Source organism: Homo sapiens, chromosome 17 (genome assembly GCF_000001405.40).
Source record: "Homo sapiens chromosome 17, GRCh38.p14 Primary Assembly".
NCBI classification, from domain to species: Eukaryota; Metazoa; Chordata; class Mammalia; order Primates; family Hominidae; genus Homo; species Homo sapiens.
Genome location: NC_000017.11, coordinates 6,891,550 through 6,914,864, shown reverse-complemented (window position 1 = coordinate 6,914,864; position 23,315 = coordinate 6,891,550). Strand labels below are relative to the sequence as shown.

At 46.2% G+C, this 23,315-nt stretch overlaps 1 long non-coding RNA gene and 1 pseudogene across 3 annotated transcripts in view, besides 3 other annotated features; one reads left to right on the top strand and one right to left on the bottom strand.

Moving 5' to 3' along the window:
- Window positions 1-570: an enhancer, noted in NCBI's record as "H3K4me1 hESC enhancer chr17:6817614-6818183 (GRCh37/hg19 assembly coordinates)". NCBI's record gives its function as "activates a minimal SCP1, AML or CMV promoter by ChIP-STARR-seq in primed H9 embryonic stem cells {active_cell/tissue: H9 hESC(primed)}" and the evidence as "EXISTENCE:reporter gene assay evidence [ECO:0000049][PMID:30033119]".
- The window catches only part of ALOX12P2 (arachidonate 12-lipoxygenase pseudogene 2), a 46,774-nt pseudogene continuing 37,974 nt past the window's right edge, over window positions 14,516-23,315 (bottom strand). Inside the window, exons 1-13 of one of the 2 annotated variants that reach the window (NR_120453.1) lie at window positions 20,949-21,088; window positions 20,352-20,547; window positions 19,859-19,981; window positions 19,666-19,769; window positions 19,362-19,522; window positions 18,406-18,549; window positions 18,102-18,311; window positions 16,575-16,661; window positions 16,167-16,336; window positions 15,936-16,065; window positions 15,375-15,474; window positions 15,105-15,272; window positions 14,516-14,997 (exon numbers count right to left, since the gene is read on the bottom strand). The product of NR_120453.1 is annotated as an arachidonate 12-lipoxygenase pseudogene 2, transcript variant 2 (transcript). Of the gene's footprint in view, window positions 14,998-15,104; window positions 15,273-15,374; window positions 15,475-15,935; window positions 16,066-16,166; window positions 16,337-16,574; window positions 16,662-18,101; window positions 18,312-18,405; window positions 18,550-19,361; window positions 19,523-19,665; window positions 19,770-19,858; window positions 19,982-20,351; window positions 20,548-20,948; window positions 21,089-22,789; window positions 22,863-23,315 lie in introns of those variants that run through there. The other variant, NR_002710.2, reaches the window with a different exon arrangement.
- Window positions 19,919-21,625, top strand: LOC124903908 (uncharacterized). The gene is made up of 2 exons (XR_007065597.1): window positions 19,919-20,000; window positions 20,309-21,625. It is a non-coding gene; the product is annotated as an uncharacterized LOC124903908 (long non-coding RNA).
- Window positions 20,184-20,683: an enhancer, noted in NCBI's record as "H3K4me1 hESC enhancer chr17:6797501-6798000 (GRCh37/hg19 assembly coordinates)". NCBI's record gives its function as "activates a minimal SCP1, AML or CMV promoter by ChIP-STARR-seq in naive H9 embryonic stem cells {active_cell/tissue: H9 hESC(naive)}" and the evidence as "EXISTENCE:reporter gene assay evidence [ECO:0000049][PMID:30033119]".
- Window positions 20,684-21,185: an enhancer, noted in NCBI's record as "H3K4me1 hESC enhancer chr17:6796999-6797500 (GRCh37/hg19 assembly coordinates)". NCBI's record gives its function as "activates a minimal SCP1, AML or CMV promoter by ChIP-STARR-seq in naive H9 embryonic stem cells {active_cell/tissue: H9 hESC(naive)}" and the evidence as "EXISTENCE:reporter gene assay evidence [ECO:0000049][PMID:30033119]".

Genomic DNA, 23,315 nt, shown 5'->3' with positions numbered 1-23,315 from the left:
TCTTCCTGGGTGCAATGTTATTCTACCAGGAGATGCTGTAATGGACTGTGCTGGTTGGCCTCCAGCCAGGAGGTGGTGCTTGCAAATGAACACCGGCTGCGGTAGGTGGGTGTGTGGGGGGGGGGGGGGGGGAGGGGCGTGGTGGTGGGGGCGTGGAGGGAGGAATACTCTGGTTTCACAGGCAATAGTCAGGGCCACAGAGCTCTCAAGAGATTCTGTCCTTTGTGTTAAGCTACCAGGGCAAGTGGCGGGGCAAAGCGAGATGGGGGCTGCGTCGGTCAGGTTTGTGCTCTGATTCTCCGTGTGCAGGGCAAGCAGCAGCTCCTGTGAATGTTGGGGGATGGAGTGGGTCTCAGGCCACTGGGTTGATGTTCTTCTGCCCCCGCTGCGCAGAAGAGTTTGTGCAGAGTGGGGAGTAGCAGGCAGCGGTGAGCCCCCAATTCCCATGCACTCAGTGAGGCAGATCTACTACCACAGCTTCCACTGGCAGCGGCGAGCTGAATTCCAGCCAGTCTGTAATCGGAACTTGCCACAGTTATAAGCTTTCCCCACGGGAGATCGCAATTGTGGTTTTCACGCCACACCCTTCCCTGTCCTGCAAAGCCGGCACCCGAGGTTCCTGCACCCGCGGCTTCCGCACTCACGGCCCCCTGCACTCGCAGCCCACTTTTCACTCTCCCACGCCTGGCCCTGGCCAAGGGAGTTGGTCCCCACCCAAGGTTATGTATATATATCATGAAACCCCTCGGGAGCTTCGTTCAACCTGCGACCGCCGTCTAAACTTTTTGCCTGTCCTCCACGGGGGTCCCCTGTGAGGAACAGTAAGGAACGGCTGCCCTCCTGTGTTGGGATTTGGGAGTGCACGCAAGTGTCTTCTGCCACTGCTCCTATTTTTATATTCCGCCACCCTCCCCGAGTTGGTCCCTTTGCTGGGTGGGGTTAGGGCCTTCCTCCGTGTCCTGTACTTTCAGGGTCCCTGGTGGGGGTGTGTATCCCAGAGGCAAAAACTCTTCCCCTCTCACACTCTGGGACTCACAGTCCTTCACCTGACTCACAGTGTAGACTGCAGCCTCCTGCGTCCTTCAAAGCGTCCCTGGGTTTTCCTGTTCAATGACTGCATCGCCTCTTGAAAAAAGTTCACAAAGTGAATGTCTCTACACTATTTTGTCCTTCCACGTGGGAGAGGCGTGCCAGCAATGCCTCTCATCCGCCATCTTGACAGAAACAGTTAAAAAACCTTATTGCATTTTTCAGTTCTGAAATGTTCATTTGGTTCTCCTTTATATTTTTCTATTTAGTTCCTGAGGTCTTCTACCTTTTCAACAGTGTTTGCCCCGACTTGGAGTATTTTATAACTTCTCTTCATAGTCATCTATGTCTCTTCCCATGTGAACTGAGATTTTCCTGTCTTCTTATGATGAGCAATTTTGGATTGTATCCTAATATTTTGAATGGTATGTTATGAGACAATCTTGTTTATGTCCTGTGGAGAATGCTGGTATTTTTCTGAAGCATTGACCTGGTTGAGTTCAGCCCACGAGTTCGAATGAGTCTTCCGCGGTGGTTTCAATTCTAGTTCTGTTTTCCAGGCCTTTGCAATGCTATTTGGATCTAGCCCATGCATGTGCCACCCAGTTAGGAACCTGGATGGGACCCTATCTCTGAATTCAGCTCTCAGTCTTTAGTAGTTTGGTCCGTGATCTAATCTCTGTTTGTGCAGTTTAGGAATGAGCCCCTGAGCTTATAAACAATATTTTGGGGTTTCCTTCCTGAGCTCCTCTCTCCCTGTGATCTCCTCTGTGCTTTTCAGTTTCCTGGCATTTTCCTTTTTGGTCCTTCAGCCAGAAATTTAGGGCCTAATTTAGCCTACCTTGCTGTACACTTCTTGCATCTGTGCCCTCATTCGGGGTCAAGTGATAAGAGGAAAGAGAGAGGAAAAAAAATCCACGGAGGTGTTCCCCGCGCTCTTGGGACCACACTTCTTCTGATTGGAGAGGAAGATTCCCCTTCTTCAGACTGCACGTGCTTATCGGCCCCCGCTGCTGTTGTCATTTCCAGGAGACCCCTTTATCACTCCCTTATCCCAGAACTGAGGGCTTTCCCTAAAGCTTGATCTGTCCATGCTGACTTGCACCTCTAGGTTTTAGGCTGCCTTGAAGTCAGTCTAGGAGTTCTGCAGGGAAAATCTAGTAAGCTGATTACTAGTTTTCCTTCTGCTTTCACTCCAACCCCCGTGATACTGCTGCTTCACGCATTCTGCCCAGGTCTTCATTGTTACATTCAGTGGCAGAGAGGAACCAGCATATCTGCCTTTAAAAAAATACTACAAATTATAAAGCATGCTTGTTTCAACCTGACACTGTTGCTTTTGGTTTCTTTACATATTACCACGTTCTTGGCATCTCAGATAACTTTTATAGTATTATTTTTCCTTTTCTTTCTGAGCACATTACCAAAAGTTTTTGTGAGGCAGGTCTTTCTTTAGAAGTAAATTTTCTCATTAAAAAATGATTGAAACCATTTTTTTTAGAGTTCTGCTGAGTTCACATTTCTTGGTTGACCAATAATTTTTTTCAATACACCGAAGACCTGATTCTGTTATTTTCTGGCTTCCGTTGTTGTTGGGAGTTTTGTTGTTGTGCTAATTCTGGTTCCTTTGTAGGTGATCTTTCCTTCCTTTTTGCCTGTATTCCAGATTATCTTTTGATCTGCGGTGTTCTGAAGTTTCACTCTGATGTGTCTAGTTATAGATTTATGTTCATTTTTTCTGCTTGGGATGTACCAGTCTGTGGGGTTTGATGTGAAGCCTGCAGAACTGTGTACCAGTTAACTCTCTTTTCTTCATAAATTATCCAGCCTCAAGTATTTCTCTATAGCAATGCAAAAATGGCCTAATCCACCTTCTTTGTGTCTTTTTACAGTTTTTGACTTGAAGTTTATTTTATCTAAGTGTAACTTCTCTTACTCCTTTTTGGTTTCCACTTGCATAGAATATCTTTTTCTATTCCTTTAGTTTCAGCCTATGTGCATCTTTATGAAGTGAGTTTCTTGTAGGCAAAATATAGTTGGATCTTGTTTTTTTTTTAATCCATTCAGCCACTCTGTCTTTAATTTGGAAATTTAGTCAATTTAATGTTATTATTGATAGGTAAGAACTTACTATTGATATTACATAGTTGTTTTCTGGTCATTTTGCAACTCCTCTCTCCCTTACTTTCTTTTTTACTGTCTACCTTTGTGCTTAAGTGATTTTCTCTGGTAGTATGTTTTAATTTCCTTGCTTTTTATTTTTAGTGTAGCTATTATAGGTGTTTGCTTTGTGGCTATTGTAAGGCTTACAGAAAACATCTTATAACACATTATTTTAAACTTAACCAGTTGTCATTTAAGATGAAAATTAACTTTAGTCACAAAGAAAAGGAGAAAAACTGAAGAAAACTTTACACTTTAACTCCATCTCCCTACATTTTGACTTTTCATTGTCTCAACTCACATTTTTTATAATGCCTATCTCTTAATTTTCAAACTAGAGACAGGAGTAGCTTACACATCACTATTGCAGTATTAGAGTATTTGTCTATTTGTCTATGTACTTGCTTTTACCAGTGAGTTTTATACATTTAGATGTTTTCTTGTTACATGTTAGGATCCTTTTCTTTCAGAATGAAGAGCTCCCTCTAGCGTTTCTTATAGGATAGATCCGCTGATGATCAACCTTGTCAGTTTCATTTGTCTGGGAAAGTCTTTATCTCTTTCATGTTTCATGGATAGTTTCTTGGATATAGTATTCATGACTGAAAGTTTTTTTCCTGCCAGTTGTGGTGGCTCATACTTGTAATCCCAGCACTTTGGAAAGCCAAGGCAGGAGGAAAACTTAAGTTCAGGAGTTCAAGACCAGCTTGGGCAACATTGGGAGACCTTGTCTCTATAAAAATTGAAAATTAACCAGGCTTGGTAGCTCATACCCGTAGTCCCAACTACTCGGGAGGCTGAAGTGGGAGGAGCACTTGGGCTTCAGGAAAATAGAGGCTGCAGTGAGCCATGATTGTGCCACTGCACTCCAGTCTGGGTGACAAAGTGAGACTCTGTCTCAAAAAAAAAAAAAAAAAAAAAAGTTTTTTTCTTTGCATTTTGAATATGTTTCCCATTCTGCCTTGGCCTGTATGGCTTCTGATGAAAAGTCTGTTGCCAGACAAATCAGAGCTCCTTTACATGTTATCATGTTATTGTCTTCTTTTCTCTTGTTGCTTTTAGGATCCTTTCTTTGTTCTTTTTTTTTTTTTTTTTTTTTTGAGATGGAGTCTCGATCTCGGCTCACTGCAACCTCCACCTCCTGGGTTGAAGCAGTTCTTCTGCCTCAGCCTCCTGAGTAGCTGAGATTACAGGTATGTGCCATCATGCCCAGCTAACTTTTTTTTTGTATTTTTAGTTAAAGATGGGGTTTCACCATGTTGGTCAGGTTGGTCCTGAACTCCTGACCTCATGATCCACCCACCTTGGCCTCCCAAAGTGCTGGGATTACAGGTGTGAGCCACCGCGCCTGGCCATTTCTTTGTTCTTGACCCTTGAGAGTGCGATTATTATATGCTTTGGGGTGGTCTTATTTGGATCTGAATCTATTTGGTGATATTTGAACTTCCTGTACCTGTATATTTATTTCTTTCTCTAGGTTTAGAAAGTTTTCTGCTATTATTTCTTGGAATAACTTTCTACACCTTGCTATTTCTCAACTCCCTCTCAAATTCCAATGACTCCTACATTTGCTCTTTGGAGGCTTTTCCCTAGATCTAGTAGGTGTTTTTAATTTCTTTTCATTCTTTTTTTCTTTTCTGTGTGCATTCAAACAAACAGTCTGAGCCTTAACATGCAAATTGCTGCTCCAAGATGGCCTACTAGATGCAGCCAGTAGAAACATCTCCCAGTGAGGGACCAAGACATCAGGAAGACTGGTGCACTCCTAGCAGATCTTCAGAGGGAAGGCATTGAGAGTGGACAGAGGGAAGGCACAGAGGCTGGGCTGAAGGGGAGGAAGCTGGGAACCCTGAACAGGGATACTGCACACCAGGACTCATTCTGGCCCCCACTGATTCCTGTGGAAGGGGTGAGTCTAACAGGCAAGGAGCAGCCCACCCTCACCATGGGCCTCCAGAATCCCAACAAGAGGAGAGCTCTCAACCACCAGATATACTTGAGTTGGCAGGAAGAGATGTCTAGAGAAGGGGTAGGGGCAGAAATCCTGCTGGTGCAGAGCCCAGAGAGTTCGGTGCAACAATGTCTGTACTGGAGTACAGCCAGGGAAACCCATGTCCCTAGGCTTGACTTGCTCCCATAGGACACTTTAGCCCTAGGGGCACAGTCAGACCTGAACTCTGAAGGGTGGTGTTGCCCATGAGACAGGACCAGTTTGACCTCAGCATCCCTTGGTCTGCTGGCGTCTCACAGAGCCCCAGCCTGGCTGCACCTGCCTGCAGTGCAGCTCCCAGATACCTCCTTGGGGGCCCACATCATAGCTCCTGTGCTGGTGGACCATGCCTGACCAATATATGGATCCAGCAGAGCAGCCTTCACAGATATGCACCAGGCTACCCTTGCCCTCCCTTAACTATAGCCTCCCCCATGCAGCTTTCTCTGTACACACTCACCTGTGGCCACCCACATTGCTTTGCCACTGCATGTGTTTACAGGCAAACTTTGCCTTTCCTTCCCCACCAGTGCACATGTGTGCACACCCTGCCATGCCACTGCTGCTGGCATGAATACACTCCGTTCTCCTGCCCCTCACCATACCTGTCAGTGTTGGTGGGCATGGAACACACCAGCTCTGCTACCAACAGTGCCCTGGCCCTGTGCCAAAACTGCAACTGGCACAAAGCTAGGCATGGAGAACAGCGAATCCCACCCCTTCCCTGAGCAGCCACCACCACCGATGTGAGCACACACACAACTGCACACACAGTCCTGCTCCCAACACCACCCTGTCTCCATGCTAACACCACCGCCACAAACACATGCATGGTCACTGGCAGAAGACCCTTGTGCCGCCCAAGCCATGCTACCTCTTTTGCTGCTATGAATGCCTGCATGGAGGCTGGTACCCCAGCACCCACTAGCATCCTGCCGCAGCCAAGGAGCATTCACCTTACCATGGTGCCACTGCTGTTGCTGCTGGTAAGTGCAGATGAAAACTAATCCAGTGGCCACCACCCTATGAGTAACTGGAACTCTAGTAGGAACGTAAACAGATATAGACACTTTGGGAAACAGTTTGGCAGTTTCTACAAAAGTTAGGCACACATATACCATGTGAACCAGTCATCCCCAAGCAAATTATTTCCCTTATAGATATTTACCCAACAGAAATAAAATCATATGCCCATACAAAGACTTGTTCACAAATGTCCATAGCAGCTGTATTATAATTTATATATATGTCAATATTTTGACTATCACAAGAGTCAAAAACCGGAAACAACTCAAATGTCCATCAGCAAGTGGCAGATTTTTCTTAAGTTGCAGTATATACATATAGTGGAACACTACTCAACAGAAAAGAATAGTGAACTGTGGACACAGGTCACAACAAAGATAAATCTCAAAATAATTTTGCCGAGTGAAAAAAGCCAAATAAAAAACCCTGCATATTTTATAATTCAACTTATATAAAATTTGAGGAAATGCAAACTAATTTATAGTGACAAAAAGTAGATCAGTGGTTGCCTGGGGTCATAGGTGCAGAATGCAGGGAGGAAGGAACCATAGGAAGGGGTCATAAAAGGGCACAGGGACACTTTCAGAGTTGATGGATATCATGGTAGGTAGAAAATGTCCATGTCCTAATCCCCAGCATTTGTGAATGTTTTCTTACATGGTAAAGAGACTTTGCACATGTGATGAACAATCTTGAGGCCAGGGGCGGTGGCTCACGCCTGTAATCCTAGCACTTTGGGAGGCCCAGGCGGGTGGACTGCCTGAGCTCAGGAGTTCGAGACCAGCCTGGGCAACATAGTGAAACCCCCTCTCTACTAAAATACAAAAAATTAGCCAGGTGTGGTGGCGGGTGCCTGTAATCCCAGCTACTCTGGGGGCTGGGGCAGGAGAATCGCTTGAACCCAGGAGGTGGAGGTTGTAGTGAGTCGAGATCACGCCACTGCACTCCAGCCTGGCGACAAGGTGAGACTCTGTCTCAAAAACAAACAAACAAAAAAAACCAACTCACCAGAAATATGTTGCTAAGGAGCAAATAAAACATGTATCCAAACACTTCCATATGAGTTTAAAATACTTATGATAAATCAAGAAAAGGGCAAACATGTCTTCTAGAGCTGGGATACACTCATCTCCTCCCTTAGACAACAGAACTCCAGGTTTGCCAGCCTGGATTCCAGGACTTACATCAGCAGCTTCACAGGTTCTTAGGACCTTGGCCTCACACCAAGAATTACACAATCAGCTTCCCTAGACCTGAGGCCTTTAGACTTGGATTAAGCCATACTACCAGCATCCCGGAGTCTCCAGTTCACCAATGGCCTGTTGTGGGACTTCTCAGCTTCCATAATCACATGAGCCAATTCCCATAATAACCCCCCTCATATATGTGTATGTGTGTGTATATGTATCTATAAATCTATATTTATATATATATCTGTGTGTGTAATCTATATGTGTGTCTCTCTATCCTATTGGGTCTGTCTCTCTAGAGAACTCTAGTACACAACTATTGCCTGTTTAATAATGACAATTCAGGTAGTAGAAGTACACACACATTTAAGAATAAATTTTTAAAAGATATCAATAAAAATTTGGTGATGAGAGGGAGGAAATATCTACAAGCCAATTTCATCATTGCTCATACTAAGAAATATTTTAAATGAGGAGATTAAGGTCTTTATATCAAATAGAAACTATAAAGATTATTGCTAGATCAAAATTATAAACCTTCTTGAATAGTCTAACTGCAATAAGAAGCCACAGAGTAAAACATTATAATTTATATATATAAAAAATCACATGAAAAACTTAAAAATAGAGCATATCAATAGATGTAAATGATGTAAATGAACATAGCATGTATTACAAGAAAAATATTTTCATATTAGATTACAAAGAAAAACCCAACTGTCTACTATACACAAAAGGTACATTTAAAATAAACTAATTCTGGAAGTTGAAAATAAAAGGATGGGCAAATGTATAACAGACAAAAAAAGTATCACTCATAATCTTAAAATTAGATATTATAGGCCAGGCACCGTGGCTGACACCTGTAATCCCAGCACTTTGGGAGGCCAAAGCAGGCAGATCACGAGGTCAAGAGATCGAGACCATCCTGGTCAACATGGTGAAAACCCGTCTCTACTAAAAATACAAAAATTAGCTGGGTGTGGTCGTGTGCGCCTGTAGTCCCAGCTACTTGGGAGGCTGAGGCAGGAGAATTGCTTGCTTGAACCCGGGAGGCGGAGGTTGCAGTGAGCCGAGATCATGCCATTGCACTCCAGCCTGGTGACAGAGCAAGACTCCATCTCAAAAAAAAAAAAAAATTAGACATTATAGAATTCAGAGCAGAAAGCAAGGCTACGTGTTTTTTTTTTTTTTTTTTTTTGAGATGGAATCTCGCTCTGTCGCCCAGGCTGGAGTATAGTGGCGTGATCTCAGCTCACTGCAACCTCCGCCTCTCGGGTTTGAAGCAATTCTCCTGCCTCAGCCTCCCGAGTAACTGGGACTACAGGCACGTGCCACCATGCCAAGCTAATTTTTGTATTTTTAGTAGAGACGGGGTTTCACCGTGTTGGCCAGGATGGTCTCGATCTCTTAACCTCGTGATCTGCCCGCCTCGGCCTCCCATAGTGCTGGGATCACAGGCATGAGCCACCACGCCCAGCCTTTTGAAGGCTAGAGGGAATAATTCACAATAAAAATATAACAATAATCCATATCAATATAAAATAACAATAGCAATTTTTATGGTAGAGAAAATAAAAGAGATTTACAAACAAACACTGACTTTGATTATGCCAACTGTTTCCTGCCAGGGATTCTGATTGCTATGTGTGTGTCCCATAAAAATATCACACATGTCATCTTTTATGTTCTCTCTTATTTTGCTACCTAAATGTTCTTAAGTATGGTGACCACATGTTAAATATGCAGAGCCACAAGATGAAGGGAGCCTGAGTCCCTAACTTAGTGAAGGAGGACTACGCACCAATTAGGAACCATTGTTTTAAATTTATCAGGAGTGAAACAAAAGAACAACTATTGTCTTTGAACCATTATTTATTTGGGCTGATTTGTTACAGCAGCTGTTACCTTAACAATGTACCTTCTAATCAATTAATGAGAAACCCAGTCATTCTCCTATGGGCCCTTCCCAAAAGCCTAGAGACAGAGTTTCCAGCCTATTTGTTTAAATATTAAGGGTAGCTTGTGAGTGAAAATCAGGATGACTTTGGGAACCAGGGACTCCCTGGAATGGGTACCTGCATGGCAGAGAACCATTAAGGAAAGTGGACAACCAGGAGACTATGATGTCATAGAAAGTAAGAGATAAAAGTATTTAAGCAAAGTGAAAGTGGCTGTGTCAAATGCCACCAAGAATCCACATAGACTGCTGTTGACTGTGATAACTATGATCTATATCTGACCAGCAGACTTCCTACCCGTTCTGGTAAAGTATCCAAATAATAAGGTGGTATGGGGAAAATAGGCATCCCAGTGACCCAGAGTTAGTCAAGGATAGCCTCTTTGGCCACATATAAGAGACACAGATGTAGATCTCCTGGAGATGTGATGAGAGGCCTTGGAGATTTCTGTAAGATTTGTATAATACAGGACCCTTTTGCTAGGTTTGGAAATTTCTCTAGTATTCAAATATCTTAAAACTTCATGCAGTATGGAATCAGGCAATTCTCTGGAGCAGTAACCAAAGCCAGAGATACAAGCAACGAATTGAGCCATACGGGCATCAGACTTACCCAGAATGGGATCAATTCCTCCAGATACCATAAAAGTTGATGTGATATTAAACTGACAAATAGAATCATCAAATATAATCCTTTCCGTATATTTACTGACATTTGGATGTCCCCATGAGAAATGTATGTTTAAGTCTTGAGTATATTTTTTTCTTTTTTGAGATGGAGTCTCGCTCTGTCACCAGGCCGGAGTGCAGTGGCGCGATCTCGGCTCACTGCAACCTCTGCTTCCTGGGTTCAAGCGATTTTCCTGCCTCAGCCTCCCGAGCAGCTGGGATTATAGGCACACATCACCATGCCCAGCTAATTATTATTATTTTTTTTTTGGTAGGGACGGGGTTTTACCATGTTGGCCAGGATGATCTCGATCTCCTGACCTCATGATCTGCCTGCCTCGGCCTCCCAAAGTGCTGGGATTACAGGCATGAGCCACTGTGCCAGGCCTTTTGTCCATTTTTTATTGAACTGCCTATTTCTTCTTACTGATTTGTAGAAAGTCTTTATTCTAGTCTGGCAGGTATTTTCTTTCAACACTTCCAAGATTATTCATTGTCTCTGGCAGCTAATGTTTCATTTGAGAAAATGCTACCTGTATTATTGATGCCCATGTGAAAGTAATGAGATTTTTCTCCACATTGAAGATTTCTCTTTAATCTGTGGCTGATGTTGTCTTTGAAGGATTCTCGACCATCCCTGTATCTCTCTCTCTGTCTCTTTCTCACCCACTTTGGGTTGGGACCTCAAAGAGCTGCACCCTAGCAGTAAAGGTGGGGTGGAAATTCAGGCCTTAAAGGGGTTAAAACCCAGCATCAAATAATCTTAGTTCCTGATTGAATTAAGGTGATCTGTGACTGCTAGATCCTCAGTCTAGCTCTCTGCACATCAAATATTTTCTAAAGGAAGGTAAGTCTAGTTAGAAAGTTAGACCAACAGACTTAAGCTAGGCTTTACAGAACTGATAGGTTCGAAGTACTTCTAATCCACCGTTGCCTGAATGCCATGGCATTTTATCTTTTAGTTATAATAGTTAACTCTTCTCTTCTACAATGATATGTGATTTATTGTGTAATGTTGCTTTTGGCTAATTAAAAAAAAAAAAAACTCTGCCTCTGCCCTGGAGAAGAGAACATACTAACACCATTCATTAGCTTAGCAGAAATTTAGAGACAACCCTGTGATTTTGAATAAAGATCCCTCTATGGGCCAGAAACGAATACAAAGGACCTGCTGTTAAGCCGCTGTGAAATGGAATGAGAGAAAAATGAAGAGATGAACTTGAAACTGGGGTTCTCAGCCTAATAGAATCGGCGCAGCTCCAGAACTCAGGATGCTTTCAATATCATTTTTACAGACAGCTGCTATATTGCCAAACTCCAGAGGACACCTTCCACATGGAATACAACATAAATGGTACCCTGTGGAGTTTTGTAATAGCATGACCCTACATGAGTGCAGGCGGACTAGGGAGCGAAGGACCAATCAAAGCCAGAACACTGAGCTTTAATGATTCCCGAAGGCAATTTGAGCCTGTTGTAGAAATAAGGGGAGGTGATTTCATAAGACATCTAGAGGTGAGCAGTCCACGTAGGATTACCACAAACATAGATTCAGAGATCACAGTAAGCCTCTCATAGGCACAGGTGCCTGAACAGATTATCTGAGTAAAAGAGTCGTTATATCAGACCCTCCTGAGAGATGAGGTGGGAGAATTTGAAAGCTGGACTGAGGATATGACTGTGCTGTGCAGAGATGGGGACACTTGCTGAGGAAACACACGAGGATGGGGAGTAGATTGGGGAGGAAAATGGGAGTGAGGTGACACATCTAGAAAATGGGAGAGCCGCTGGGTGTGGTGGCTCACACCTGTATGTAATCCCAGCACTGTGGGAGGCCGAGGCGGGTGGGTCACCTGAGGTCAGGAGTTTGAGACCAGCCTGACCAATATGATGAAACCTCATCCCTACTAAAAATACAAAAATTAGCCAGGCTTGGTGGCACATGCCTGTAATCTCAGCTATTTGGGAGGCTAAGGCAGGAGAATTGCTTGAACCTGGGAGGCGGAGGTTGCGGTAAGCCAAGATCGTGCCGCTGCACTCCAGCCTGGGCAACAAGAGTGAAACTCCATTTCAGAAAAAAAGAAAAAAGAAAAAAGAAAATGAGAGAGCTCAGGGAGACAACCCAGTCATAGGAAGTGATGACAGGGCTTCCGTGACCTGCATCATCCAGCTTTTCTTCTTACCTTTCAAACTAGGATCATTCTCACTTCCTGGCTTCATTTTCTTTTTTCTTTTTTTGAGACAAGTTTCGCTCCATCGCCCAGGCTGGAGTGCAGTGGTGCGATCTCGGCTCACTGCAACCTCCAACTCCTGGGTTCAAGCAATTCTCCTGTCTCAGCCTCCCGAGTAGCTGGGACTACAGGCACGTGCCACCACGCCCAGCTAATTTTTGTACTTTTAGTAGAGATGGGGTTTCACCTTGTTGGTCAGGCTGGTCTTGAACTCCTGACCTCAGGTGATCCACCTAAGTCGGCCTCCCAAAGTGCTGGGATTACAGGCATGAGCCACCGTTCCTGGCCTCATGTTCTTTTTTATATCCCTAATTCTTGTTAGGGCCAAGGACACCTTGGCCCTCTGCCTCTTCTTTTTCCCTTGTTCATAAATTCAGCTCCTAAGTCATCCAAACTGTAGAACTCACCTCCATTTTTTTTTTTTTCTCTTGAGACGGAGTTTCTCTCTGTCGCCCAGGCTGGAGTGCAGTGGCTCGATCTCGGCTCACTGCAAGCTCCGCCTCCCGGTTCACGCCATTCTCATGCCTCAGCCTCCCGCCACCACGCCCGGCTAATTTTTTGTATTTTTTTTAAGTAGAGACGGGGTTTCACCATGTTAGCCAGGATGGTCTCCATCTCCTGACCTCGTGATCCGCCCACCTTGGCCTTCCAAAGTGCTGGGATTACAGGCGTGAGCCACCGCGCCCAGCCAGAACTCACCTCCTTTCTTTTTTCAGTTCAGCCTCTCCAATTACCTGTTTAATTTCTTCCCATAAGAACCACAGTATTACATCAAACTTAAACAACCTTCCTTCTGAATCTTTGTATTTCTCGCCAGTTGTGCCGCAACTGAAAACCTCAGCGTGACCTCTGCCTCTTCCTCATCCCCTCCCTCTCTTCTGACTCTCCTTGCTACCATTCCATGCAACCACAAAAACTTCTAGCAACCAAGTCAGATTCTGTGAGTCTATGGTCTGTGGCTATCTTAAAATTCTTTCGTCATCTACTGAAAAAAGTCATATGATGGACGGAAGCAATACACAGAACAGGACGGGACATTAGAAGGTTGAGGGCATCAGTAGGTGAATCTGGATGGCTCACACATGTCTATTTCTACCGTATTAACCGTATTGTATATGTTCCTTTTAAAAATATATGGGACATAAGTAATTTGAATGCATAAGATTCTTTAAAAGACTCAAAGAATCTTTATCTCTCCTTTTTTTCCCATTACATCAGATCCATCCGAGGCTTTCATTGGCCTCTAGATTTTATGATCAGTCTTTTAACTGTTATTGCTATGACCACAATCCTGGGCTTTGCTTCCTTCTAGCAAATGGAATCTGACTCTGCTGCATTTTGGTCCCAGGTCATTTCTGCCCTTATCTCTCCAACCTTCATTTTCCTGTTATAAGATGGTGATAGTGATACCAACCTCACAGAGAAGTTGTGAGGATAAATTTTTTTTTTTTGAGACCGAGTTTCACTCTTTGCTGTATAGGCTGGAGTGCAATGGTGCAATCTCGGCTCACTGCAACCTCTGCCTCCTGGGTTCAAGTGATTCTCCTGCCTCAGCCTCCCAAGTAGCTGGGATTACAGGCACCTGCCACCACACCTGGCTAGTTTTGTATTTTTAGTAGAGAAGGGGTTTCACCAAGTCGGTCAGGCTGGTCTCGAACTCCCAACCTCAGATGATCTGCCCCCCTGGGCCTCCCAAAGTGCTGGGATTACGGGCATGAGCCACTGTGCCCGGTGTGATAAATTGAGATTATATATTTAAAATTTCTAACATAGAGTCTGGCCTACTAGTTCCTTCTTTATCCATTTATCTCCAGTATCTAGGACTGTGGGCTAGATGGTATGTTTTAAGGATGCAAGGATAGAGCATGATGAGAAGAGGGTTTATCAAGAGTCCTGGGACAGGACTGAGAGGAAGGCTGGGATGCAGCTGGGGAGGGATCATGCAGGAGGGCTGTGCTGGGAGTTGCACCAGAGGCGTTGCTGCAGGTAGCCTAAGGGATGGCTTATTGAGGATTCAGAGAGGCCTCAAGCCAAAAACCCTTGTCAAGAGCCAGGTTTCTTAGCCCCAGTGGACTCAGTCATCCAGAACACTTGTCATTTAACTTAGAGAGGTTCCAAGATACCCTTGGAAAAAGCATTGATTGCTAGAAAAAATTTTCATTCCAGGAAAACTTTTCTTTCCTTCTTTGGAATCTGAATAAAGGGGCAGGAAACAAAGCAAGGTCTCTCCTCCCACCTTCCACCACCACACATATAATCCGTTTTGTTATTTAATCATATATTTTTACTTGTATCTAAGCCAGGTCCTTTGGCAATGAGGAGGTGTGCAGGGATCGGGGTGAGGAAGTGCAGGACTGGATGGACATTTAAGGTAGGGCAGCTTTGGGGGATGCCACTTCCAAATGCAATGGGGACCATCACTGTGTATTCCCCATAGTTGTGTGGTGAGCAGCTCTGGATACCCTGACCACAAAGCTTTGGGGACAATTTGTTCACCAGAGGATGTGAGGAGGACGGAATACTCAAAGGCACTCAGGGATGGTGGAGCTTTGGAGCTGAGGCGGGCAAGGCCTCTCAGATGGTCACGCTGTTCTCTACCATGCTGGGTCAAAGGTACTCACAGGGCAGGTCCAGGACTGCATTCCGGACCTCAATCTCCTTGTCCATGGAAGCCAGTTCCTCCTGGAATTGTCTCAGCACAGCTTGGGGCTCAGGACCAGAGAAATATTTCTCCTCATGCTGAGAGGCAGAAGACAAGTTGGCTCAGCCCCTTGGGACTCTCAGCCCAGAATACTTCCCCTCCTTTGAGCTGCCTCCTTCCCAGGACCCAGGCATTTGCTTCTCACCATGACAGGCTGGCGTCTGCCAAGGAACTTTGTGAAGGTCTTTTGCATACGTGCCTGGTGGAGATTGGGCAGTAAGTCCACTATATCCTTCTCTGTCACATCCTTAGAGATGGGCGGGGGCTTCTGCATGGTGCATGGGCCATTAGGGATCCAGGAGTACCAGTCCAGCTGCAGGGAGGAGAGCCCAGAGAAATGCAGGCTGATGACCTGGGCATTTGATCCCCCACTTCTCCATCCCAGGAGCCGTTGTGGGATGATCACATAGGTTACCTGGCCCAGGTGGTTAGAAGCATGCTGACCTGTGCATGTGAAGATGCACATGGTGACAAAGTGGCAGAGCTGAGCCCGGGACTCTAAGGAGATGAGGAACCTGGTGAAATGAGAATCCTGGTGAAATGAGAATCAGAGATCTCGAAACCAGAACACGAAATAGGTCTCACGCAGGGAAAGCTATGTGGAGATACAGAAAAGAACTTTTCTGTGGTTCTGGCCTGCACACCCTAGGACTCCCACCTTGTGTGTGCTCAAAGGTTAATGCACTTGGGATGAACCTTGAGCTATGGGGAGAGGGGAGGGAAGAGTGAGGGAAAATACCTAAGAGAAGTTTTGTATCTAGTTCCAGAGGAAGCTCTTAGTGCAGAGGAGAGAGAACACTGTGTAGGAACAGGGCTGGGGAGATCAGGAGTGCTTGTTAGCATTTCTGGACACACTCTGGAGAATTCTCAGCTTCCTTGGGCAGGTGGGGTGTCTCATGATGATGTGAGAAGAAGCAGATTGTTTGCAGAGGAGTGGGTGTTGACAGGGTTCAGTGGGGAAGGATCCATGTCTCACCCCTGGTCTTGGGCCCTCTGCAGTCCAGTCTCAGTCATCTCTCTGCACCAGGCCTGCAGCTCTAGATCATCCTTCATGGCTTGGTCACTATTGTAGAAAAGCCCAACCATCCCCTCCACGTACCTATTCCCTGGGAAGAAGACACTCAGTCTCAGGGGCCAATGCAGGACCTTCTGGACCTACAGTCCCCCGCCCCTCCGTTCATTGCCTCTCTGTGCCACCTTCACCTACCGGCTGATGATTCCCCACAGCCTGATGGCATCTTAGCCATAAAAAGAAGATTTCACATCCAGGAGCCCACGGTCAGCCAGGTCATCAGGAGGACAGAGGGAATGATAGGTCAAACAAGCCATGGCTCTCTGAAGAATGTCCACGTGGCTTCCACTACCAGTGCTCACCACCTGAGGATAACCCACAGCCATGCCAAGTTGCAGAGGGAGGGAGATGAGTATCAGGAAACTCCAGGCCTATGATCCTACTCTAGCCCTTTTAAGCAGGAAGCTCTTCAGGCATGAGGCAGGTTTGGGAGAGGCCTTCCATGGAGGAAGGAGAGCTTGGGGGAGGAATGGGAAAGGGAAACAACCCCTAGGATTCTTCCAATATTGAACCATCCTCCCCTTCACCCATCCATTTCCATACCAGGTCAAAAATTCCCCATTCGGAGACAAGACTACTCTGGGCCAGCGTGTTGATCGCCATGGTGTAGCGGAAGTGGGGGATCAGGAGCTGATTATGGAAGAAAGAAATGGGACATGGTCAAATAAGAGAGTTCCCAGCATCCATGAGGGAAGAGGATGTTAAAGGAAGTGACAGAAAAGAAGGGAGAGGATGGGTCTTTATGAAATGGAGAGACTTCTCGTTAAATTGGAGTGGGTCAGGGTAACATTTGGGAATATAGAGATGGGAAAATGTCTTCTCAGAGCATCCCGTGGTGAAAGTTTTAGGAGTTCACTTATTTCCACAGTTTCATGTCCTTGGAAGAATTCTAAAAATCCCATATCCTCGCAGGTACCCACATATGAGCCCATCCCTTTTTGCCTTCACCCTCCTATAATTATATTCCTTCTCCTCTCTCTGTCATACAAACATGTGCAATATTGGATACCCTAAAGAAAACCTGTGCTTGACCCCCACATCCTTGTCTTGCCATCTCCCTGTTTCTTGCTTTCCCTTTCACAGCAAATCTTCACTCAGTGTTGTCTTTGCTTACCCACCTCACATTTGCTGCTCACCCCCATGAATCAGGCTTCCTCCACTTCCCTGAGATGGCGCATGTCCATTTATTAACCAATGACTTCCATATTGAGAAATCCAAATGTCACTTCTCTGTAACTTTCTTGATCTCTCAGCAGCACTTGAGACAGATAATCACGCGTCCCTCTTGAAACGCTTTCTTTTCCTGGCTGCCATGGATTGCACTTTTTGATTTTCCTCCTACCTCAATGAGGTTCCTTCTCTTGTTTCTTTTCTCACTCTGCTCCCTTCTCTCAGTCTGTAAATGTTGGTTCACCCTAGAGTTATATCTCGGTCAAATTCTCTACAAACCCTAGAGAACTTCATCCAGTACAATGACTTTGATACTTTTGTTTTCTAATGACTCTAAAATCTGTATTTTCAACCTACACCTCTTCTAGGAACTCCAGACTCACATATCCAGTTGCCCTCCTGACATGTGCAAATGGGTCTTTATAGGCATTGGAAGCCCCACATGGTCAGAAAATAACTCTTGATTCTTCTCCCCGCTAAGTAACATGGCTTCTTCTCTCATCTCCTCCCACTTCTTCTTCCTCCTCATCCCAACTCATGCCCTACACTTTAATCTCACCCAATCTCAGCCATTATCCATGTTCCCTTCTTTCCTCGCCTCTTTAGATCTTTGTGGCTGTAATGTTCCACCCCTCACTTGCCCACCTGGAAACCTCCTCAGCCAAAATTTCAACTCCTTTGCAAAACCTATTCTCACTTCTCCCCCCAACTCATAGTAAGTGTGTGTCCTGGGTGTTTCCATATTACTGTGTATGTGTACGCGTGTGTGTATGTATCTGTGTATGTGTCTCCACATATAAATTGATTGCTGCTAGACTGAAATGTACAAGGTTAGACTCTTTGTAGGAGTCTGAAATATGAAGGACAGTCAGATACAGAATGACAGAGATGCTGAAGTACCTTGTAGATAGGATGGAGGCTAGGCAAGCTTCTCATTGTAGCCACAGCAATAACCTCAGCAATCAAGTGTCCCCTCAGCAGATGTGACTGTAACTGCTGCAGCTGGAAATCAGAGCTCCGGACCCAGGTCTTGGCCAGGAGCCAGGCCATGGGGGGATGCGAGGGCAGAAAGAGCAGAGGTGGGGGACATCCGTGTCAAGGTGGCTGGAGCTAGAGCAGGAGAGAGAGTGGGGGCTGAGAACTTGTGTATCTAAGTCCCTAAAGGAGATCAGTGTCTGGTAGAAAAATACCTGGGCCCTCTCACCTGGATGACCATGGGTAAGAGTCCTCCATCAGGCTGAAGCTTCAGCATGACCAAAGGGGCTGCCACGCATTGCTGCTTAAAAATGATGACATTAGGCTTGACTCCATCCAGCAAGGAGAAATCCACTTCAAACAGAGATCCAGCCTACAGGGCCAGGGGCAGGAATAGAAAACAGGGTTGGAGTTGTTTCTGGAGCTGCCCTTCTCTCATTTTCCAGGGTGGATCCTTCCTCTACCCACCCAAGTCTTTTTTACTTTAAACACCAATCACTTTCTGCAGAACCAAAAAACTGAATGCAAAGTTTTCATGACTGATGTCTTCCTTCAGACTTGGAGCTCCCTGCAGCGAAGTTTCTGGTTTTCCACCACATAAGGCCACTGCATTCTTCACGTATCCCCTCTTCTGCCAGCTTTAGCCAATGTAGCAAAAATATTTCCTTTAGCTACCCATCTCCCCCCAAAAACAGATTCAGCTTTTAGCTCTCCAAGGCTTTGTTTAGTTTTTCTTGCTATTTCTCTCCAGAAGCTTGCGCTTTTCCCTAAGGCTGATATATGTTCAATGAAGAAGGAAGAGAGGAATGTGGAGAAAGAAAAGAAGATACAGGAGGAGATGTTGTAGATCAATGTTCTCAATCAGGGGCAATTCCTCCTCTCCCCAACCCCAGGACATTCAGCACTATCTAGACACATTTTTGGTTGTCACAACCGGGGGGATGCTGCTGGCATCAATGGGTAGAGGCCAGGAATGCTACTAAACACCCTACGATCCACAGGAAAGCCCCCCCCCCCCCCCCCCGCCAGCCAACAGAGAATTATGTGGTGCAGAATGTTAATAGTGCCAACGTTGAGAAACCTTGGGTGTAGATGGAGGAGATGAGAGAAGGGGCTGGAGATGGGAGGAGAAGGGAGGTGGGGGTAATGGCTGGGATGGTGGATGGGCAGAAAGCCCAGCAGCACCTGGAGTTCTTTCTCCAGCTGGGTCTTCAAGTCTTCCATCCCTGGAGGCAGCACCAGGCAGGCTGGGAGCCTTGAAGAACACCTCAGGAGCATGGGGTTTGCACCATTGAGAAACTGGTACCCAAAGAAGGCATCATTCTTCCAAGAATCATAAACCCGCTCTAGGAACATCAATTGGGGAGCACCCTGTGAGCTCTGAGCTCCGAACTCCTAATCCCACTGATCTAATCCTCCATCCCCCTCCTTTTTCAAATCCCTGGGTTGGAAGTCTGTATATTGGTTTTGGGAGGTTGTGAAAACTGACCAGCCAGGACAGTCTTTCCATGTGGGAATATTTTTTTGAAATCTTCCAGCCTTTTCACACAATTTATGAAATCCAGTGTCCCCTTAATGGCCAAGTCCTTCAACCTGTGGAAAGAATGGAGTGCAAGAAGATCAAGGAAGCATCCCACCTTGTGCCCTAGGAAGCAAGTGCCCAGCCTCTACCTGGTACTCACCCTTTTGCTAGGGAGACATTAAAGTCTAAATCCTTATCCTCGAGGAATCGCTCGTCCCTAGGAAGGTCCGGTTGCCTATTCCCTGCTATAGGCAGGATTAACCCATCTTTCCAGGAGCCCCACCTGGAGGAAGAACACACAGGTAGGGGTAAGGAGGCAGGTGGCAGGTTTCTTGGGATCTGGTAGGGGATCAAAGACTTCCTGGGGCTCAACGGTACACCTTCCTTCTTTCCTCGAGCTCCTGTTCCCGATATTTCTTAAACAGGTTCTGGGGGTCATCACTCACGGTCCGGGCTGGGGGAGAGGGACAAGAGCACATGCCCTCCCTGGTCACCCCTCCGCGCTCGGGTCTCCCCATCAGCCACCCTCCCCCTTCACTTCTCCCCATCTCCCTCATCTCTCATTTTCCCTCTTTTACAGTAGCCTCCCCCCACCCGCTTCTTCCTCCAGCCTGCCAGGGGCTGTGCCCCTTCTCCACCGAGCTCACCAGTACCCTCAGGCAGGCAGATAATTCCGTGGCCCTGCACCCAGCGGTAGCAGGGGAAAAAGGCCTCGCCTTGGGTCCCCGGGCCCTGCACTGAGATCCACTTGCAGAACCAGTCGAGACTCAACAGCACGTTGTGTTTGCGCAGCTTCACCATCAGGAGGCGCCCCAGGTGCAGGGGGACGTCGATCTCAAACTCTGCCTCCTGCGCGACAGTACACAGCTCAGGTTTTGGGGTCTTCAGGGAGGACGGCGGGGTCGGTGAACCTTCAGAGAATCCTGGCTCCGTTTCCCCTCCACAGCACAGCCGGGGAGAGGTGGAGGTGAGGAGGAGCAGCTGGTACTGCGGGGCGCCAGCCTCCCCCCGGGCCTGCCGTGCCCACCCCAGCGGGCGTCTCTGTCCTTCCGCTCGGGCAGGAAAATGCCTCTCATCTCTCCTGTTCCTCTCGCTTTTCCTATCAGGCGCACCAAGTGCACCCGACCTCAGCCCCTACCCCGCTTCCCAGGTTTCTCATGGGTGGGGCAGCAGCACCCTCCGAATGGCCCCGGCCCCCAGTGACACCTCTGAGTCCCAGGGCCCCAGCTCTCACCGCAGTCCGCGCTCACCTTTCCCCACACCGGTGGCAGCTGCTTCCCTAGGTCTGCCTCCCCGTGCTCGCCCACCAGCCATAGCTGCACCAGGTTGGGAGAGCCCGCCAGGAGCAAATCCCCGGTGGCTACGCGGACCGTGTACTTGCCCATCTTGCCCGGAGATCCGGGGAGAAATCAGCTTTAAAAGGATCTGAGACCCAGCTCCCAGGGAACCACGCCCAGCCCAGAGTGGCTGTTGTATTTGGGTTTCAGGCTCCCCACCTCCCACCCACAGATTCCTCCCCGACTAGGAGGAACGCTGGGACTGGCGCCAGGCTAGGGTCTCTGTATCCAGAGTTTCTCCCGGCGGCTCTGGAAAGGGCAGCCTCACCCTTATTCACTTGGCAAACACTCCCTGATGCCAGTTTCACACCCTGCCATGAGCCAAACACAGCAGCCTACGGACGATGACAGCTAAACACTAGCTCCCACCCAATTTTGGTGAATACATAAATAAGATTGCCACGGAAGTGAAATGGCTTGATCATAGGGGTATTTTTCAATGGAAAGTTGACACTCCCCAGACACTCCTGCTCACCCACGGCTCGCCTCTCTCCTGGACCTCCTGGGCTATCGTGAACAGAAGGGCTTGAACAGCCCTTCCACCTCCTCATGTTGAAAGAGAAATAAAGGGCCATTGTGTTTTCATTGAATGGGGGTCCATAATAAGAGCTCTTCTAGGTCTTTCTTGCATAAGCTACATCCAGATGAGTTGACATTTATTTGAAATAAATGTCTAGAACCTAAAGGTTCTTGTGGGGAAAAAAACTAAATGCAGCCTCTATTTAGATCTTTACAGTTTTCTCAAAACCTTTTATAGTTGTATGGCTGACTCCTAGTCATCAAATTGACAGTGACTTTTAAAAGATTATTGTTTATGTAGTCATAAAATATTCAACTTATTTTTAAAAAATACTGGTATGTTTATACTCCTATTTCATTAGTTTGTCTATAAATTTCATCATTACAATAACAAATATAACTGATATAAACAGTTTTTTTTTCTTTTGAGACAGTCTTGCTCTGTTACCCAGGCTGGAGTGCAGTGGCATGATCTCGGCTCACTGCCACCTCCGCCTCCTGGGTTCAAGCGATTCTCATGCCTCAGCCTCCTGAGTAGCTGGGATTACAGGCGCCCGCTACCACGCCTGGCTAATTTCTTTTTTGTATTTTTAGTAGAGATGGGGTTTCACCACGTTGGCCAGGCTGGTCTCAAACTCCTGACCTCAAGTCATCTACCCACATCACCCTCCCAAAGTGCTGGGATTACAGGCGTGAGCCACTGTGCCTGCCATAAACAGTTTTGGAAGTTTACACAACTATTCTTGATAAACATAAAGCTCAACTGGTGGACATCAAAGTGCCGGGCAGGTCAGTTTTTTTTTTTGGAGGAGATGGACAGTGTCAGTCTCCTGATAAGTTGGTGATGGGTAGGTAATTTAAAAGCTTCTATTATAAAATCTAGTCTCTCTGACACTGCCCTGTCCACTGCAGTCACATCTCCCAATACTGAAGAATCCTGAGAATACGAGCGGTCATGACACTTACTCACGTCATTCACCAGTAAAACCCTCTATCCTTCCTCCTCAAAATCAGGAATGCTCTCCTATCCTCCCCATTGACCCCCACCCCTCACAAGCTTCACCTCCACTCTGTGCCCTACCATTATCCTCTAGAGCCTCAACTTCTCTTTGAAGAAGATCCTTCTAACATTTTGGCAACATATTCCCTCCACTTAACCTCTAATTCCCATTTTCAGTTTCAGTCACCGACCAGTGCAATAACAGCTTAGACTTCATTTGTCACTTAAAACTCACCTATAGTATATTACCCATTTTGTGGTTTATCCACTCAGCCCATGAGCCACTCTCCCCTTCCTGAAGGTTCTGACTGGAGAGAGAAGAAAGAGAGAGAACAATTGAGTTTCTGAGGGTTTTCCAGGTCCTGTGAAATCCAGCTCAATTCTCTTCCTTGGGTTCTGTGAGACACCCAAGCGGCTTTCCAATAAATCCCACTTTGTTGCTTAAGTTAGCTTGAAGTAGGCTTCTAGAACAATTAACTCTACCATATATAAGACAAAAAAAAATTCCTGTCAGAAGGGAATTGCAGTGAGTCTCAAGAGTTGAAGTATAAACATGAACTTGTGTTCCTTTTCTAATAACTCTTCCTTTCTCCTGAGTAGCGGTTTGCTTAACAGTTTCGTGGCCAACTCCACAATTTTCCAATCATTCTTGTTTAATAGTATACTCTTGTTTCAATATTCAAGATTGCTTCTTTTATAGCTTCCATATCAAAGTCCATTCTAGACTCATCTCCTTGCCTCCAGCCTCCTTTCCTAAACTA